Source organism: Homo sapiens, chromosome 2 (assembly GCF_000001405.40).
Source record: "Homo sapiens chromosome 2, GRCh38.p14 Primary Assembly".
Lineage (NCBI taxonomy): Eukaryota > Metazoa > Chordata > Mammalia > Primates > Hominidae > Homo > Homo sapiens.
Window position 1 is genome coordinate 152,114,355 of NC_000002.12, and position 21,629 is coordinate 152,135,983.

General features: G+C 37.2%; 1 protein-coding gene and 1 pseudogene across 1 annotated transcript in view; one reads left to right on the forward strand and one right to left on the reverse strand.

Annotated features, from left to right (window-relative positions):
• Nucleotides 1-2,446: 2,446 nt before the first annotated feature.
• Nucleotides 2,447-21,629, reverse strand: part of STAM2 (signal transducing adaptor molecule 2) — a 58,963-nt gene continuing 39,780 nt past the window's right edge. The window contains exons 8-14 of the mRNA NM_005843.6: nt 21,155-21,249; nt 19,048-19,130; nt 18,819-18,906; nt 17,760-17,814; nt 11,872-12,025; nt 9,412-9,581; nt 2,447-6,448 (exon numbers count right to left, since the gene is read on the reverse strand). Of these exons, the coding sequence (NP_005834.4) occupies nt 6,220-6,448; nt 9,412-9,581; nt 11,872-12,025; nt 17,760-17,814; nt 18,819-18,906; nt 19,048-19,130; nt 21,155-21,249 (874 nt within the window). The 3' untranslated portion in view covers nt 2,447-6,219. The remainder of the gene's footprint in view (nt 6,449-9,411; nt 9,582-11,871; nt 12,026-17,759; nt 17,815-18,818; nt 18,907-19,047; nt 19,131-21,154; nt 21,250-21,629) is intronic.
• RPL30P2 (ribosomal protein L30 pseudogene 2) lies at nt 17,144-17,535 on the forward strand (annotated as a pseudogene).

A 21,629-nucleotide genomic window follows, 5' to 3' on the forward strand; every position in this document is an offset into this window, starting at 1 on the left:
GAAAAAAAAGATATCTAAGTGGCTAATAACATATGAAAAGATGCTCAACATCACTGGTCATTAGGAAAATGCAAAAAAAAACCCACAATGAGGTATCAACAACTTCACACCCAGCAGCATGGCTATAATAAAAATAAAAAAAAAAGGAAATTAACAAATGACAGTGAGGATGTGGAGAAATTGGAAGCCTTGTGCATTGCTGGTGGAAATGTAAAATGGTTCCGCTGTGGGAAAGTTTGGTAGTTCCTCAAAAAGTTAAATGTATAATTACCATATGACCCAGTACTTCTACTCTTATGTATCTAAAAGAATTGGAAACTGGTATTCATATACACGTACACACACGTTCATAGCAGCATTCACAACAGAAAGTAAAAATAGGCCAGGTATGGTGGCTTATGCCTGCAATCCTAGCACTTCAGGAGGCTGAGGCAGGCAGATCACCTGAAGTCAGGAGTTCCAGACCAGCCTGGCCAACATGGCGAAACCCCATCTCTACTAAAAATACAAAAATTAGCCAGGCGTGGTGGCACACACCTGTAATCCCAGCTTTTCGGGAGGCTGAGGCAGGGGAATCACTTGAATCCAGGAGGCAGAGGTTGCAGTGAGCTGAGATGATGCCACTGCACCCCAGCCTGGGTGAGAGAGTGAGACTCCATCTCAAAAAAAAAAAAAAAAAAAAAAAAGTAAAAATAGCACAAGTATTCACCAAAAGATGAATAAACAAATTGTGATATATATAATGGCGTATTATTCAGTCATAAAAAGAAATGAAGTATTGATATATGCTACAATAAAAATGAACTGCAAAAACACTAAATAAAAGCCACACAAAAAACTGCAAAAACATTAAAAAAAAAAAAAAGGCAGTTGTGCCTGCCCAACACTGTGAATGTATTATTAGGTTGGTGCAAAAGTAATTGCAGTTTTTGCCATTACTTTTAATGGCAAAATGCCCCTGACCTGTTCACTTTAAAATGGTTAATTTTATGTGAATTTCACCTCATTTTTTTTAAAGAAGTAGTCAGCTCCTGAGACCAAAATGTAATCAGTATGTCACTGATTTAGTGTAAGGGTACTGGAAAACTTTTTTTTTTTTTTTTTAAAGAGATGGGGTCTCGCTATGTTGACCAGGCAGACCTCGAACTCCAGACCTCAAGCAATCCTCCCATCTCGGCCTCCCAAAGTGCTGGGATTAGAAGTGTGAGCCACCATGCCCAGCCAACCGGAAAGCCTTTATTAGGATATTAAATGGTATAAAGCTAAGAACAAAACCAAACCTCCATTCTTGAGTAGCTTTTGAGGGGGAATATCCTCCAGTTTTTTTTGTTTCTTCTTCATCTCTGTTTGGCTTTGAACATTTCTCCTGTCATTCAATAACTACTGCTCAAGATGAGCAGAGGAGTAGATAAAAATGCAAATCAGTTATAATCTTGCTAACTGTAAACACCTCTGGCATAATGAAATCAATTATTGAAATGTAGATGTGCTATTTAAAAATCAAGAAATAGGATTATGGGATTAATAGAGGTCTTAGTTTCATCTATCCATGCAATATCCTTATAGTTTAGCAAAGATAAAAAGACTGTCACTGGACTACAGACATCTTTCTCAGAATTCCTCCGTCAATTTTAAGCAATCTTATCAAAGTCTTGAGTACTTGGTACTCAGATTTCACTGTACACTCTTACCCATGTCTGAGTTCCCCAGGACTGCTGTAACAAACAACAGAAATTTGTTCTCTCACATTTCTGGAGTCTGAAATCAAGATGTTAGCAAGGCCATGCTCCCTCTGCAGGATCTATGGAGGAATCCTTTGCCTCTTCCAACTTCTGGTGATCCCAGGTAGTCCTTGCCCTCTGGCAGCATAACTGCAACTTTCACTGCCATCTTCACATGGCCTCTTTTCGTCTATGTGTGTCTTCTCCTCTTCTGATAAGGACAGTAGGCATTGGATTTAGGGCCCACCCTAAATCCAGGATAAATTCGCCTCAAGATCCTTAAATAATTGTATCTGCAAAGACCCTATTTCCAAATACAGTAGTCAGCCCTTAACCATGATTCCACTTTTTTTTTTTTTTGAGATGGAGTTTCGTTCTTGTTGCCCAGGCTGGAGTGCAATGGCATGATCTTGGCTCACTGCAACCTCCGCCTCCCAGGTTCAAGCTATTCTCCTGCCTCAGCTTCCCAAGTAGCTGTGATCAGTTATGCGCCACTACGCACAGCTAATGTTGTATTTTTAGTAGAGACAGGGTTTCACTATGTTGGCCAGGCTGGTCTCAGACTCCTGACCTCAGGTGATCCACCTGCCTCGGCCTCCCAAAGTACTGGGATTACAGGCGTGAGCCACCACGCCCGGCCCATGATTTCACTTTCTGTGTTTTCAGTTACCCAGATTAAACCATGGTCCAAAAATATTAAATGCAAAATTACAGATAACAATACATACATTTTAAATAACTTTTATTAGAGTATATTGTTACAACTCTTTCATCTTATTAGTTCTGCTGTTAAGTGCCAAATTCATAAACTTTATCATAGGGATATGTATGCATAGGAAAACAAACAGTATATATAAGGTTCAGTACTATCTGCGGTTTCAGGCATCCACTGGGGATCTTGCAAATGTATCCACCACAGATAAGGGCGGGGGTGAGGGGTGGCTACTGTTAAGTCACATTGTGACATTCCAGGTGTACATGAAATTTGGAGGGACACTATTCACTATATCACACAAGCAACATAATGCCTCTTTTGACACAGTAAGATTTTAAAAAAAAGACTCTCAAACTTTAATTCAGCTTGATAAAATTAGAATTCTTCTTCTGGGGAATTTTCTTTTTGAGACAGGATCTCATTCTGTCAGGCCGGAGTGCAGTGGCGTGATCACACCTCACTGCAGCCTCAAGCAATACTCCCACCTCAGCCTACTGACTAGCTGGGACTACAGGTGCACTACCACACCTGGCTAAGTTTTAAAATTTTTGTAGAGATAGGGTCTTGCCATGTTGCCAGGTTGGTCTCAAACTCCTAGCCTCAAGCAATACTCCTATCTCAGGCTCCCAAAGTGCTGGGATTATAGGCATGAGCCACTGTATCTGGCCTCTGGGGAAAACTTTTAGAAATATACTTTTAATTTTTGAAAGAAAATTAAACCAAACAAAAATCAAATCCCTAAAACTGAGTATTCCCATTTACTAACTGGCTAAAACTGATGATGAAAGAAGAAAAAGTACCTTCCGATAGAAATAAAGCATTATAGATCAGTGCTATTTATAATTTATTACTTATCAAAGTAACTCCAGCTTTCTTATAGCAATTCAATAAGCCCTCTCCTAGAACTCAGGGGCTTTTAAATTTATGTTTTTACTAAGAAAACCTTTTTAAAAAAAATCCCTAAGCTATATGTTTTTAAAACATTTAAAATTGATTTTTTAAATTTTGAAAGTGAAATTATAACCATCTTCAAAACATACAGTAAAATGTATTACGTAGACAAGTATCAATTATTTCAAACAGCATGACAATTTAACTACAAATAATTTCAAATCCTAACAAATATAATTACCTAATGTTTAAGTAATTTTATAAATAAATTACCAAATTAGAAGACAGTATTGGTTGACTACATTTTACAAACTATAAGAATATATCCCACACTTCATATATTTTAACACCCTGGGGTATTTTTCTGCATTAATAAAATTCATTCTATTATAAATTTTCAGGAATTCTTTCTGATGTACCAAGATTTCATATGAAAAAGCAGAAGCTATTTTTTTATTTCTGATATAAAACAGTAAGTATGAACCCAATGTAGAAATCTGAAGTTAGACAATTCCCTTTGGCAGAAAACAATTATAAACAGGTCTTAATATAAATAGAATCCATAAGCCCATAAAAAGGGAAGTACACAACCCTGTGTTTCTTAACACCGAAAGAATCATCAGTACACAGATTTAAAATCATTTTTATCTCTCGACAGCCTGCAACACAAAATTACATATGGCAAAAAATAATTTTTAACTTGAGAAAGAAAAAAACTTCTGCACATATAAACTTTCACCGATGTGCCAATATATACTATATATTTATATATATATATATGTGTCATGTTTTATTATTCTAAAACTACATTATTTATAATGGCTGATCCCAATTTAGTGGGTGTGCAGTAATTATATTGGCTCAAAGACATGCTGAATTAAACTTTTATAATTGAGATCACAATTATACATGAAATACACAAACATTAAAATAAGTTTATTAAATAGAGTTTGGGAGAAAAAAAGTAAGAAATTCCATATATATGCAAATGTTGACTATTATCGAGAGCAGCTTTGGATTTTTTTTAAATGTTTTTTAAAAATTATTATTTTGTAAATAACAGAAGATTTGTTTCCAAAAAGTAAGGTGCCATTCAGAAGTATATAATTGAATTAACATAAAGGAAAATACTGAATAAAAAACAGAACATGAGATATTAAAGGTTAAAACTTTCTGTTCAGTTATTTGTATCTGAAGTTAAGACAATGACATAAACTGAGCTTTCAAATACTGCTAATTTTTCCACTTAAATGTAGATCAAGTACCATATAGACTATTTTGTTCTAGAATAAAGTTTCTTTGAAAAAGGAACATATTTATAATCAAATTTCTGTAGATAAATGGCAAAATTTTCAGAGAACTAGCTTGAAATGGATTTAGTAGAAAGAATGACTGCTTCCTTTAAAAAAACAAATATAGAAATCTTGCTTCCACGTAACTTTTTAAAAACTAATGTCCATTGTTTTTCCCAATCTGAATATGTTTCCATACATGTATGTATTTGCAATTTCTATTTTCCAATATGTAAAAAGTTGGTAGACAATGAAGTAGTGTGCAAATTTTTAGGAGAGAAAACAATCCCTACTGGTTTACTACCAAACTCTCACAGTTATATAGAATCTATTAGCACTATAAACTAACTCAAAATGCAGGCTTCAGAAAAACTGCTTCAATAGCCTCCCTATCAATCTGTCGCCTTCTATGAAGTCTTCACCTGCTATTATTCCACAGGCTGAGAATTACTTCTGAAAGAAATGGTCAATTTTTTCAACAGCTTGGTATGTTGACAGCTTAGCAACGGTACTTGAATCACCTCTTTAAAAAAACAACACACCACTAAAAACACACTTATCATCCATGCTTGGTATATCTCACAACAAATTATTAGGAATGTCTCATGGTTCAAATTCACACGCAATCCCATAAAAAGGATATGCAGCATCTCTGCACACCACATTGCAGGAAGAAAAACAAATGGACCATATCTTCATTAGAGAATAGCCAAAATCACTTGAAAAGGTTATTAGTGACAATTCTAAATACCAGAGATACATGTAGGAAAGAAAATGTTTTTCCTCAGGGAATGGAAATGTTTTGTGGGACATTCCTTCACAGTTGGCATGACTGTTTGGGGGACTGACTAAATGCTTTATCACACATCTGCATTTACAAGGTCTTCACTGTTAATCACAGAAAACATTTTTGTTCCTTCCAGATTGCTCTTGCTTCTGTAGACAATTATATGCTAATTATTATTCAACATAACAGTGAGAGCAAAAGTGACAATACTGCAAACACAACCGCAATTTAAGGAGCCAAAAAGAAATATGCTGGCAAGCTAAATGCTTACACACAAAAAAGTTAGACTTTTAAAGTGTGTGAGAAACTCTGAAAAAAATATTTCAAGTTCTTCAGTGCTCTTATGACATTTTAGGGGGAAACAGTGGTTTCTTTAAAATAATATTTTAATCCTCCTATCTCATACTGTTTATAAGTATGAGATACTTTTGACAAACTCACTCTGTCGATCATGCTACTGCACTCCAGCCTGGGTGACAGAGCGAGTTTGTCATAAGTATCTCATACTGTTTGTCATAAGGCTACTTAATGAGTATCTAGATTTATGTAGAGAAATCTGAAAGTAAGACAAAACTAACTGAAAGCATCTTTAAGCTGCCTCTGATGAAAAGATTGACTTCAAACAAACTGGACTGAAAAAAAAAAAAAAAAAAAACCTTTTATGGCCTTGTAGAATAAGAGAGGTTTTTGTGCTTTATTTATTCATGGTCCTTTTGAGTTGAGAGGGAAAAAAGTTTTAATATTTTCAGGTTGGTATCACAAGGACTGAATAATACACTTATGAAGGCTTTCAAGAAAATGCTTGATTTGTTTCTAAAGGAGAGGCTGCTGATGGTAATTTGTGTGCTGCTGTGCAACTGGATGAGCTGGAACTGTCACCGGAAAGCCTGCCAGTTGAGGCAAATTGGAAGTAGTGTTCTGATAAGATGACATATCCACAGACATCCCCATTTGCTGTGTGTAAGCAGTTGTACCAGTAGCTGACTGTAGGTTAGAGTTCTGGTTCATATAAGTAGGATTGGAAACAGTGTCTTGTCCAGTGCTACAAACAAAATTTTAAAAAGAAAACCATATTTACTTTGCAATATATAAGGTTAGAGATCAATCATCATGACAAAAATGCCTTTTCCATCTTCTTTTTAAGCTTACGTAGCTCTGCTGTTCTGATTACAATTTAATCATTCCAGCCATTGAATACTGTTAATCAAATTTTCTTCTTCTTATTTTTGAGATGGGATCTTGCTCTGTTGCCCAGGCTGGGGTGCAGATCATAGCTCACTGCATTCTCAAACTCCTGGGCTCAAGCAATCCTCCTGCCTTAAGCCTCCTGAGTAGCTGGGACTATTTAAAAAAAATTTAAATTAGTCCCAACTAATTAAAAAAAAATTTTTGTTGTAGAGACTGGGTCTTGCTATGTTGCCCAGGATGGTCTCAAACTACTGGGCTCAAGTGATCCTCTGGCCTTGGCCTCTCAAAGCGTTGGGATTACAGGCATGAGCCACCATGCCGAGCTTGTTAATGTAATTTTTATATTTGGTAAGAAGAGAGAGGTACTTGAAAACAAACAAAATGTAAGATTCTAAGGCCAATTTAACTTCCCTTCTCCAGAATCTCTAACTAAAAACATTCAGAAACCACCTGAGGAGATGCAAACTGTTCCTGACAGAAGTACCCTTGGCCATTTGCAATGAGAATGGAGCCCTGGCTCAAGATGCCACTTTCAGCCCATATTCTCCCTTCCCCATCTCCCAATCCAGCACAAAGAAGTCCACCTCTTCTCTGTAAACATCCTTCAAGCTTTCCTTCAGTAAGGACTTTCTACTTTTAAAAGGAAAACAGCATAGTCTGTATAGGGCCCAAAATCAACCCTCAGGATAGTCCGAAACTATAGTTTCTTTATTGACACTTCACAAACTAAGCTGAAAAATCACACCAAATTGCAAGACTTGTTTGTTCCTATAACTACTGTGGCATACATTTCTCTTAAAATATATATACTTTTGGCTGGAAGCGGTGGCTCACACCTGTAATCCTAGCACTTTGGGAGGCCGAGGAGGGCGGATCACGAGGTCAGGAGATCGAGACCATCCTGGCTAACACAGTGAAACTCCGTCTCTACTACAAATACAAAAACAAAATTAGCTGGGTGTGGTGGCACGCGCCTGTAGTCCCAGCTACTCAGGAGGCTGAGGCAAGAGAATGGCATGAACCCGGGAGGTGGGGCTTGCAGTGACCCAAGATCATGCTGCTGCACTCCAGCCTGGGTGACAGAGTGAGACTCCGTCCCCAAAAAAAAAATATATATATATATATATATGTGTGTGTGTGTGTGTGTGTGTGTGTGTATACACATATATATACATACTATGCCCAGCGGTTTTAGGGCTGAGCTTGGAGGCTTATGGCTTTAATCCCAGCATTTTGGGAGGCCAAGGTGAGAGGATTGCTTGAGGTCAGCCTGCTTTGAGACCAGCCCAGGCAACATGGCAATACCCATCTCTACAAAAAATTAATAACATTAGCTGGGTGTAGTATGCGCCTGTGGTCTCAGCTACTCAGGAGTCAGAGGTTGGAAGATCCCTTAAGCCCGGGAGTTGGAGGCTGCAGTGAACTATGATCACACTACTGTACTTCAGCCTGGGTGATAAAACCCCATCTATAAAAAAAGTTTCAATAAAAAAAATTATGTAATTTTAAATTCCACCAAATATACTGCTTGCAATAAAAGAGAATTAGTTTCAAAACTACACCAGTTTTTTCTCCACAGTTCCTAGTGTTACCAAACATAGCAAAATTTTATATTTTATTCTAACTGAACACTAATATAAACAGATTTATTTAATATTCATATAATATCTAAAATTCATACTCATGGAGTTTGAGGGTGAGAAGAGACCTTATAGATCATCTACATATGATTATATTGAATGAACATTTTGTATGGTTAAGCAAAATGAATAGAAAGAAAGATTTAAATACAACTCTTAGAGTAAAAGTGTTTTTATTTAAAAAAAGAACTATAGGGCTGGGTGCAGTGGTGCATGCCTGTAATCCTAGCACTTTGAGCAGCCACAGCAGGCAGATCCCTTGAGCTCAGGAGTTTGAGACCAGCCTGGGCAACATGGCGAAACCCCACCTTGACAAAAAAATACAAAAATTAGCAGAACATGGTGGTGCTTGCCTGTAGTCCCAGCTACTGGAGAGGCTGATGAGGGTGGGTGGATAGCTTGAGACCGGGAGGTCAAGACTGTAGTGAGCTGAGATCATGCCACTGCACTCTATCCTGGGCGACTGAGTGAGACCTTGTCTTAAAAAAAAAAAAACTTGGCCAGGCGTGGTGGCTCACACCTATAATCCCAGCACTTTGGGAGGCTGAGGCGGGTGGAACATCACGAGGTCAGGAGTTCGAGACCAGCCTGACCAATATGCTGAAACCCCGTCTCTACTAAAAATACAAAAAAATTAGCTGGGCATGGTGGCGCGTGCCTGTAATCCCAGCTACTCAGGGGGCTGAGGCAGGAGAATCGCTTGAACCTGGAAGACGGAGGTTGCAGTAAGCAGAGATCTAGCCACTGCACTCCAGCCTGGGTGACAGAGGGAGACTCTGTCTCAAAAAAACAAAACAAAAAAACCTGAACTACAAATTCCACAGTTCAAACGCCCTTCTTAAGGGTCAAAGTAACAACAGTTTTCTAATTTTTAGGAGTGCATGCAGATAAATAAGTCTGGGACTACTTCACAGGCTGATTATAGCACAGTGCTAAGCACATCATGGGCTTAGTCTCATAAAGGACAATTAGCTTTTGCCCCAAGGATGCAGACTGTAAGCTTAAGGGCGGGCAATAATCTCAGTATGGGTAGCAAAGCTAAGGTAACACCATTCCACTTCACAGGATTATGAATAAACAGTTCTGTAACTTCATCTTAATAAGGGTCTATATATTCTCATTCTGAAAATCTAGGAAAATTAACACATATAAAATTAACACAGCTCCCAAAACTTACCTTAAATATGAAGTTTGAGCAGGCTGTGCTGTCACTGAGGAATTCACATTTGGAGGCAGAGATCTCAGTGGACCAATTTGATCGGGTCCTAGGCTATAGCTTTGGGCAACAGTTACTTGGTGAATGCTCTGACCCATATAGTTTCCACCATGTGATTGAACTGGATATGTCTATTAATCAGAAAGAAAAAGTTGATTCACTCATCTCCCAAACATGTGCCTAATAATATATTTAAAATGTTAAAAGACTTAAAGGAAAGAAACTATACTTCTTTGGGAAGCAATCTGATTCTACCAATCTATCCATCTTAGAACTAAAAGTGGAGAGCTGTCAAATCACAGTGCCAAATCTATGGAAATTTGATTTGTTTGGCTGTTCTTTTATTTTTACAGAGAGCTGGGAGAAAGACAGGTGGTGTACTTTTAAGTAGTGGATTGCAATCTATCCAGGTTGCCTATTACTCAGTAAAGATGTCTTGCTGTAGAGCCACAGAAAACTATACACTCCCTTGAAGGGAAGCCCACCATCACTTAAAGTCACTATAAGAATGATAACCTTCTTTACCCTCATCCCTGGATGACTCATCCAACTCCTTCCTAAGAAAGAAACTTGAGAGAAAAAGCTGAAAAAGAAATGGTATAAGGGTGCCAGGGCTTCCCTGGCAATGTCTACCTTATTCTCTACCTTTAAGACAAACAGGACAAAAGTAAAGAAGAGTTATGGGCAAAAGACATGTATCCTCAGGAAACAGCAAAAATGGTTTAGGTCTCTTTGGACATTTATATGTGCCCTACTTATTTTCAGGACAACAGCTCCTTAAGGACAGGGTCTACCACCTGTCTACTAAATATAGCATCAAAACAATGCATACATTTAATATCATATCATACCATAATGATCATCAATCCAGTTTTAAATTAAGCTATTTTTAAAGTAAATACCATTCATCTGAAAATTTAGAATGCTAGAAATGCCAAATAAGCTATATTAAGTACAATCACATTACCTCCTTAGTAGACATGTAACAATCTACTGACAATAGGCTGAGACTGTGAGAATCAGCGTCTTCTGCAGTTTAGGGTTCCTGAGTAGCCTACACAATATAACTAATGTGTTACCCCAACTGCTTCTAGTAGAGATATATTTTTGTCAAATTAGAATAGAAACTTTTGAATATTTCAAATGCTCTTGAGTGAACAGTGTAGGTACAGATTACGTGAGGAATCAAACAGAAAGTTAACTTTTTAGAGACATGAGTTGTGCTTGGCAAAACGCAGTAAGTAGAATGCAACTAAACACCAAAACCTGACACAGAATGGCAAATAACCCTTTACAGACACACAAAAAAGCAAACATAAAGTTTTATCATACAATGATGCAGACACTGCTGTTTTGTTCCACTTTCACAGCAGCAGCGAACAACTCTGAAAACAGAAGCAAACTGAATAAATCCCAAAGGTCTTTTGCAGCCAGAAAAATCTTTCCTACCCTCCTAATTTTCAAAAAGATCAAGGCATGGCATATTTGATAAATGTATCTTGTCTGACGTGACAGTTACCATAGTGACTATTCTTTTTTTACTTAACAATTATGTTGTGTCAAGTCATCTAAATTATGCACCCACATTCTACCCTTTCTCCTTGGTGTCTCCTTCACATGCACCTTTACATACCAGTTTTCATAAATTAACATGAATTTTGCTCATCCAAGCTCATTCTGAATTCAATTGGCTAATTGGCTGAAATTTCAAAAAACGCTTCCGAATGGGGATACTGACAAATGTAAGTATTCGCTTCACATGGCAAGCACACAAAAAAGGTGAAAAGTACTGGAAAAAGATGGCTTATGGATGTTCATGGATGGCTTACGGAGTCTGTACCTCCTAGACATGTATCATATCTTTGCTATGCACAGATTTTTAACAATGTAAGTCATGCAGCTAAGTAAAGGAAGTATAAAGCATACTCTAGAAGTTCATTGTGCCTGTTAATAATCATGTAAGTCAAATAAATCTTTATGGAAATTTGTAAAGAAATGTTAAATCTTGTTGAGCAGCAGGAAAGCGTTAGTACCTCACCTGGGGAACTTCTGATATGTCAGGTATTGTCCTAAATCAAAAGATTTATACTCCATATTTACAAAAAGGATTTATGTTTACATAAAAGATTTATGCTTTATACTTACAAAAGCATATGAAGAACCAGAACTACCCTCACATATTTAATGGTCTTTTCATCCATGTTAAAACTGAACTAAAATGTATTTGTGAAATATCAGTATCTGTCTAATTTGCTCTGGTGAATGTTAATTGTTTAGCCAATATTTACTGAAACAATCAAAGATAAATTTTATAATTTTATTCACAGACAAAAGAAATCTTAATACTATGCTATAAAACATTTTCTTTTACTTTTAAAAGTTGTTTATAATTTAGAAAATGTTCTCAAAAAACATGCTCACCTGCATTGGAACCCCAGATGATGCAGGTGGGTAATGTGCTGGAGGGTGGAGCTTTGAATAGACTGAGTACACTGGTGCTTCATTCACCAATTTGTTATATAGTTCCAGAGCTTCCAGGACTTTAACATTCAATTCAGACAATTCTGAATGCTTCCTGATGTAGAAGAAAAGTATTATAATACTCTTCTAGTTTTTAGCATGTATTTAGTAATATAAATTATTTTTTTAATTTAGCACAATTTCTATTAATATATTAAAAGGCTTTTTTATATTTAATGAAAGAATATTCACAAAGGGAAACTAAGAGGAAGAACTGCTTAATCCTTGTAATAGCTAGGCTGATATTGAGGCAGGAGAATAGGGTCTGGAGGCAGGGAATCTAAGGCTGATTTTCAAGCTGACTTCTTATAACTAAATTGAAAGGAAAACCAACCCTAACTTTCCACACCTAAGTAACAAAAGGACCAGAGGCTACTTCCTTTGCAAACCCCCCACGTTTTCTGTGCAGCAGATGGGAAATTGGGTGTCCGAAAAAAATCAGACTGATTACAGGTCCAGTCTCCATTTGCAACTTTGTAACTTCAGCCTCTGAATGGTTGCTGTCCACAACCAATCAGACTGACTGTGGGCGGAGTCTTCATTTGCAAAGAAATATAACTTTGTAACTTCACCCTAGCCTCTGATTGGTTGCTTTTTGCAACCAATCAGATGTTTGCACAGCAGTGTTACCTTTGTAACTTCATTTCAGCCTCTGGTTGGCTGCTTTCTGCAACCAATCAGACTGATTGTGAGCTTCCACTTCATTTACATGAGGTGAGCACGAAAAGGCCAATGGGAAACTTCTAGGGGGTACTTGGACCCAAGAAGATTCTGTATCCTGGCCCTTGAGCTGCTGCTCAGGCCCACTCCCACACTGTGGGGTGTACTTTCATTTTCAATAAAACCCTGCTTTTGTTCTTTTGTTGCTTCCATCTTTCTTTGCTTTGCTGGGCATTTTGTCCAATTCTTTGTTCAAAATGCTAAGAACATGGACAACTTGCAGTCACAATCCTCTACTGGTGACAATATGACTTTATAATATTAGGGAAAAGTCCTTCCACACCTCATAAAATGCAATCAATTCATAATTTCGGTGCTGAGAGAATTTACTTTCACACATTCTAGGTTTTTTGTTGAGAATTCAATTATTAAAAAGAAAATTCTCAATTTGGGTAAGAATCTGGGCCTTAATTAAAAATCTCAATAAAAGAAAGTACCCAGGCAAGGCTCAGAACCTCTATGAAGTACAATATGATGGAAATTTAAAAACACTTGTTAAAAAAAAACCACACACACACATTTTCATTTGTTTATATCCATGAAAGTGTCAACTGAAAAAAAAAAAACCTACTTAAATAATTATCCTTGAAAATCCAAGTAAAAACAATGTGTAAGTAAGACTAATCTCTACAGCTCATTTGTTGGTTGGTTGATTTTGAGAAAGTAAACCAATGCTTTATTATGTAATAACAACAAACCCAAATAAAAGCATCTTCAAATTTGCCCAAGAAGCTTCAGAGCAAACTCTTTCTACTTGATAGTTCCCCTGGGAGTAATAAAGAACTCTCTTTGCACTGTCAAATTTACAAAAGCTAAGCAACCACTTTTCATCTGGCCTGAAACATCCACAAGCCTTTTTACTGAATGTGGTTCTTTCTACATAAACACAGAGAGGCAACAAGCAGAGGCACACAGACAGACACAGGACTACCAAGTAAATAGCCTGGACTGAGTCCTATCAAGATTTGTCACTTTTCCTCTACTAGAGTCTGTTATGTCTGAACTACAACAACGAAAAGTCTTCTCTCTCTGGTAAGAATGACTGCATTAAGCAGGTCAAACTCTATTATCAAAAATATCAGGCCGGGCGCGGTGGCTTATGCCTGTAATCCCAGCACTTTGGGAGGCCGAGGCAGGCAGATCACGAGGTCAGGAGATCGAGACCATCCTGGCTAACACGGTGAAACCCCGTCTCTACTAAAAATACAAAACATTAGCCAGGTGTGGTGGCGGGCACCTGTAGTCCCAGCTACACGGGAGGCTGAGGCTGAGGGAAGAGAATGGTGTGAACCCAGGAGGCGGAGGTTACAGTGAGCCGAGATTGCACCACTGCACTCCAGCCTGGGCAACAGAGCGAGACTCTGTCTCAAATTAAAAAAAAAAAAAATCAGTTACAAGTCACCCAGAAAGCTACAGAAATTAGTGCCATGCTAACAAATGCATAACTAAAATGTAACCGTAGGAATTTGATCCACAAAACCCAGCATGCTGATGAAACACCAGGAAAATGCAGTAGAAAGACATGATCACTGTGTTTGAAATCCCCTTAAAGATTTGAGACACAATCCCAGAGTAATAAGGCAAAAGAGCAACTTGATCAGGTGGTAGAAAATTACCTTTGGAGGACAGGAGGAAATAAGATTAGAATAGTCTGGAACATAGTTAAGTCCAGACTATGAATCTCTCTTCAACAAATCTACCTAAACTTTTATGGAGTCAATTTACATGTTTACTCAATATAATTTCTTAGGCTGATAAAATGCTACAAAATTTCATTCTGTACAATGACAAAAATGAAATGTACAATTTAACTTTCTAACAGTAGAGATGTTTTTCTTAGTAGGAATAACAAACATGATCCATTCAAGGGAAAAAAGGATATTTTATTCATCTTTGAATACTTGACAAGGGTAAATAATAGTCAATAAGAATTTGTTGAAGAACAGGAAACATTTCCCAGAACAGGAGCTGCATCTGCAGCTGTGGCCATAGAACAAGAAAAAATGCCAGTTGGCCTATTCAAAAACTGAAACTGGTAAGAAAAATGGTTAATGGTTGAGTTCTCACTCAAAAAATTAACTAATATCAGAATGGTCACTTTGATTTTTTTTTCTTTTGAGAGCAGATCTCACTGTGTCACCCAGACTGGAGTACAGTGGTGCAACCGTGGCTCACTGCAGCCTCCTTGACCTCCCAGGCTCAAGTGATCTTCCCACCTCAGCTTCTTGAGGAGCTGGGACTACAGGCGCACACCACCAAGCCCAGCTAATCATTAAAAAATTTTTTTGTAGAGATGGGGTCTCACTGTATTACCCAAGTTGGTCTCAAATTCCTGGGCTCAGATGATTCTCCCACTTCAGCCTCCTGAAATGCTGGGATTATAGGTGTGAGCCCCCACACTGGCCTCAATCTGACTTCTAATTCTTCTAGATCTTTTCCTTTAACAAAATTCTTTTTATGAACCAAAAATAAGATTAAATTGTCATAGTTTCTGCCTTTTTTCATTATATAATATCTGCTCATATCAAGGGATAATTATCAAGGACAATGATTTCCATTGTAGAATGTGTGGACATACACTCAGCCCTCCATGTCCATGGGTTCTGCATCCGTGCACTCAACCAACTTCAAATTGAAAATACAAAAAATTAAAAAAAATTGTGTCTGAACTAAACATACAGCCACATCTATCATAATACTTTTTAATCTTTTCCAGTTTGATTATTCACTGAACATTAACATGCTGCATTGAAACAAAGTAGATGTGTAACGAGATATTTAATGCTTTCTCTAAAATATGGCAAAACTACTGTTAATTGCCACACAGATTTTTCATTTCTTTAGAAAACACAACAAATTTATTTTTAAAATGTCCCCTGGAACAAAGACGACAATCTCTGGTGACTAGGAAAAGTCCTGCTGCTACTGCACTTCTCTGGCAGAGGCAGAAAAGAAGTAGTTTATATTCTCCTTCTTATTTTGGTCCTATCTAATCTTTTCTTCTTGTGCTGCTTATATATTAATTCAATAAATACCACTAGAAAGGGATGATGATGGAATACTAAGCCCTATCCCTTGTTTTCCTTTCACTACAGGTTCTCCCTATGACTTCAGATAGAGAGCTGAGAAATAAGGGAGCAGAACCAAGTTAAAAGCTCAAAACCCTGAAAGTCTACCCCCTTCAGTGTTGCTCCTATTTTATTTTTATTTATTTATTTATTTTTTGAGACCGTGTCTTGCTCTTTTGCCCAGGCTGGAGTGCAGTGGCGAGATCTCGGCTCACTGCAAGCTCCGCCTCCTGGGTTAACGCCATTCTCCTGCCTCAGCCTCCCGAGTAGCTGGGACTACAGGCCACCACCACCACGCCCGGCTAATTTTTTGTATTTTTAGTAGAGACGGGGTTTCACCATGTTAGCCAGGATGGTCTCGATCTCCTGACCTCATGATCCACCCGCCTCGGCCTCCCAAAGTGCTGGGATTACAGGCTTGAGCCACTGCGCCTGGCCGCTCCTATTTTTAAAGGACAATAAGGGACAGGCACAGTGGCTCATGCCTATAATCCCAGCACTTTGGGAAGCTGAGGCAGGAAGATCACTTGAGGCCAAGAGTTTGAGACCAGCCTGGGCAGCACAGCAAGACCCTGTCTTTAAAAAAAAAAAAAGCTGGGCATAAGGCTGGGTGCAGTGGCTCACACCTGTAATCCCAACACTTTGGGAGGCTGAGGTGAGCGGATCACGAGGTCAGGAGTTCGAGATCAGCCTGGCTAATATGGTGAAACCACATTTCTACTAAAAATACAAAAATTAGCCGGGCATGGTGGCAGGCACCTGTAATCCTAGCTACTTGGGAGGATGAGCCAGAGAATGGCTTGAACCCTGGAGGTGGAGGTTGCAGTGAGCCGAGATCGCACCACTGCACTCCAGCCTGGGTGACAGGGCAAGACTCCATCTCAAAAAAAAAAAAAAAGAAAAAAAGAAAAACAAAACTATGTAGGATAAAATTAAAAGAGCAATAGAAACAAATACAAGGACAAGAAATGAAAAGAGAAGGTGTGATTTAGCTTCAAACACTAGAGAAATTTCATTTAAAATTTTTATAAGTACCACTTCTCATAAGAATTCAATTCTTGGCCAGGCACAGTGGTTCATGCCTGTAATTCCAGCACTTTGAGAGGCCAAGTTGGGCAGATTACAAGGTCAGGAGTTCGAGACCAGCCTGGCCAACATGGTGAAACCCTGTTTCTACCAAAAATACAAAAATTAGCCAGGTGTGGTGGTGCACGCCTGTAATCCTAGCTACTCAGGAGGCTGAGGCAGAAGAATTGCTTGAACCGGGGAGGCAGAGGTTGCAGTGAGCCGAGATCATGCCACTGCACTCCAGCCTGGGCATCAGAGCAAAAGTCAATCTCCAAAAAAACCCCAGAAAACTGTTACCTAAATAAAAAACACCAGGCTCCCCAGCCATCTTGGCAGCTGCTCTTAGTTGGGGACCCTCCTGGACTTAAGGCAGGATGGTCTCAAAGAGGAAAAAGTCAGTGGAGTTGATTAACTCTAGGCTCCAACTTATGAAAAGTGGAAAGTATGTGCTGGGGTAAAAGTAGACTCTGAAGATGATCAGAAAAGGCAAAGCAAAATTGGTCATCCTCACTAAAACTGTCCAGCTTTGAGGAAATCTGAAATAGAGTGCTATACAATGTTGGCCAAAACTGCTGTCCATCACTACAGTGGCAATGATGGGCACGGCATGCAGAAAATACTAGAGAGTAGGCACACTGGCTATCACTGATCCAGGCAGTTCTAATATCACTAGAAGCATGCTAGAACAGACTGGTTAAAAGTAAGCCATGCAAAATTTTTATTTAATAAAACTTGTCAGAGCTTGTTTTTTAGAAAAACAAAAACAAGATAAAAAGCACCACCTTGCTATAAATTTGTTAAAAGCCTGGGAAACTGAAAAACAATTTCCATGAATTGTACAGTTCCACAAAAACTTTCCCTACTTTACTGTTTGCCAAAACACAAGTGAACCCCCCAAAACTATACTTTTTATTCCTGCACGAAAAATCTCACCTATCAATTTCTTCAAGTTTTTCATCTATCATTGGACCCATCTGTTGGCAGATATCTGTAAATACAAAAATACTTACAAATATAGAAACTTAATCCAGTTTAAGCCAATTTCAACAATTTTTAACAATATAGCACCAATATACAACACTATGCATAATACACACAGATTAAGCTCATGCTAGAGAAAGACTACTATTCAGCACTACTACTACATATTACTATCATGTGACTAAAAGCAAGGTCAACTTTAAAATAAAAACCTCATTATGTTTTCTTGAAACTATTAACTAAGTTGACAGACTGTGAAATCTGGAGTTATCCCAAAGTCTTAAAGACATCTAGAAAACTATGATTAGTTAACTAAAACAAACTTAAGCCACAGTATATAAACTATGTAACCTTTGCCCATCAGATATGAAGATTTTTCATTTACTTAAGACATTTCAAGATTAAACATACTGTGTATTTCCCAATGTGAACACTGACACAATAAAGAGCACAACGCTGTATTCTATATTCATAACCAGATGTTTCTTCTATATAAAGATTTAAGAAGAATTATTTACCAGAGATTCTTATCCCAAAAGATTTTTTTTAAAGCATAAAAAACACGTTTTAATTGTTCTCACATTTCTTAGAGACTAAAAGACACATCAACATGCATCAATTGACTATGTTATGAAGTTAACAATTATCATGTATAATTTTGTCCTTTAAATTCATAATACAAGAACATTAAACAGCAATAAGCATTTTAAACATTTTGACTCAATTTGATGTACTGTTATTTTTAATTCTGTCCTTTTTTGGACTGCAAAAATCTTCAGCCAATTTTACTAGTGGGCTTAAAGAAATACAAATACTTGCTTTATGAAAAGGATTTGCAGGTTTATGACAATGCCTTCCAAGTAATACTTTTACTATTTTACTGTACTAGTCTGTTCCCCACCGGAGATTTCTAACCTCTAGAGGCAAATACAAGGCAGAAGAAACTGAAGACATCATGAATAGCTAAAATATTAAATAATATTAAAATAATATAAAATATTCACTAAGTACCTTCTAAATCCAAAAGGTCTTGGGAGTCTGGTTTTGAATCTGTTGGATCTATACTCTGAAGTACCTGCAGGGCTCTATCCATCTTATCCTAAAAAAGTAACAGGACACTTTTCAAAAACTCAAGAGTTTTAACTTCAGTAAATATGAAATTACTCTTTCCAAGCATTCTCAAAGATAGTACATTTAAATGTCTTGATAGTTTAACTATTAAACAAAAGAGGGACCCTACCTCATCTATATAAACAGGCTCAGGCTCTGATTTCTTAATTTCCTCCACATCATCATCAATTACATTCAATTTGTCCACAGCCGCTATAGAAACAAAGTAATTTTAAGTTCCTCAGCATTTACTTCAGTAATTTTAGTCATTAATTTATAAGTGGCCTATGATTGTCCATAAGAAAAAAAAATAAAAGTCCTTCAAATATTCACCACATTTTATAATCAATATTACATACGTTTATTACATACGTTTGGTCATTTATTTCACAAACATTTATTTAGTACTCATTATGTGCCAGGCATTGTTCTAGGCATTTATACAGACACCGGTGAATAAAACAGACAAGAATCCCTAACCTCTTGGAACTTAAAATTTTAGTGGAACAAGTGTACAATATAAACAGCAGCTGACATTTTAGGCATTTTCCTGAAAACTGAGTGTTACCACTGGGGTGAATAAATATATGACAGCAGACTATTATCTAGCAGATTATTAACTAGCTAATTTCATAGTTACATCTACGAGTTCCTTCTACACTCTTCCCTTCTATTTAAAAAAACTATTTCCTATATGAACAAAAAATAAAACTTATTTTAAGCTAACTTCGATAATAGTTAAAACAACACTAAACACAAAAGTTTTTCATGAAGAGAAGGTTGAAAAAAAACTTACAAATACATAAACCCAGAAAACTATTTAAATGTTCCCTGGAGTATTGCTAGAATGTACCATATTTTAACAAAGTAAATTTTGGTAAAAATAAAACTACAATAAAAACCTATGTAGCCAAACAATTTTAAATCCCAACTGTTAGTCATTTATTTCAAATATTTGGCTAACTTTCAAAGAACAGAAGTCAGCATAACACAAGGATAAACTGAAAATCCACAATATTTTTTCCTCTTAATACTCTCCAGCCTATGTCAAGGAGAAACTGCTATATAGAATCCCCTGAGCATGATCTATAAAGTTATTTTTTAAAGGTATCTCCAATATTCCTATCTACTTAGAGAGTCAGTTAAAAGGAATAAAATTATAAATAATGGCAAAGTACTCTATATTCAAATCAGTGAGTATCAACCTCTCACGACTTCATTTTTCTGAATGTATCACTCTACACATACAAAGACGATGTTACACATGCATAATGCTTTCATTTGAAGTTCTTTCTCCTGAACTGGCAAGGACTAGCACTGATATATCCCTCAGTGAGTCATTGTTAAGGTCAAACTGACTGACTTTAGAATCCTGGCTCAATCACTTACTAGACACATAATCCCTCAGCCTCAGTGTCCTTATCTGTAAGACAGGGCAACAAAAGTAGCTATCTCACAGAACCGTGAGATTGAAATGCAATAGTACAGATGACTTAGCACAATGCCTGACAAATAATGAATGCTCAAAAACCAGTAACTATTTCTGATTACCATCATTAGTACTATTACGAGCTGTTCCTTTACACTCAGATCCCCCCACCTCCCTACCTGAATAACAAATGGAATGCTTTCTCAGCATGGTTGACAATGGCTAAAGTGACTAAAATGGAACTGTCTGTGGCTGCAGACTGACTAAAGTTCAGCAGATCTGAAACAGGAAGCTTAGTGGCTTGATTACATTACTTTGTTGTTATTGTTTCAAGCTCCCTAGGATCAAATCAAGGTGAGGAAAGGTCTAAAATTTAGGAGTACTCCTAACCCCAGTAATCATATTCGGCACTTGCCAACCACAACCTCCCCACACCACTCCCGCTTTGCCTCTGTGGTTCACTGATGAATCAAAACACTCTTTGTACAGAATAGATATGAACTGCCTCTTACACTACATAGTTAGGTTGATTTAAATACCTGCATGGTCACAAATGATTTTATGCCTGACATTTAACTATGTATGCTAACTCTCAGAGGATGTAAAATAAGAGGAAATAATTCTTGGGATTGACACAGGCTAAATTAACCCCTTAATTTGGTTAAAAAGTAGGTTAGATTGTCATGCCTATAAAGAAATGATTTAAAACAAAAGTTAAATGCCAATCTACTTTACATCCAAAACTGAAACATAAAATTTAAGTGAAAAAAACTTAAATAGATCTAATGTCGTCTAAGATTTAACTTACCTGCCTCAGTCTCTATGTTTAAATTAGTTGTTACAAAATTGGATGGGAAAAGTCCTATTCCTCTGTGATTTTCTCCTTTCCACCAATTGGCATCACTAAAAATACAGTGCAAAAAATATCATTTGTTCCCCACATTTTAATACAATAAGCAAAGATGAATTAAAAATTAAATTTAGCCTCCTTTGAATATATCCGTTTACAAGCAGCTATAATTGAGTCATTTTTCTTAAATTTAATAAACGATATTAAAAAGTACAAGTAAAACAAATATCCACATCCCTATATCTAAACTTAGAACCAGCCAGGCGCAGTGGCTCACGCCTATAATCCCAACACTTTGGGAGGCCAAGGTGGACAGATCACCAGAGGTCAGGAGTTTGAGATCAGCCTGTCCAACATGGTGAAACCTCATCTCTATTAAAAATACAAAAATTAGCCAGGCATGGTGGCACACACCTGTAGTCCCAGCTACTTG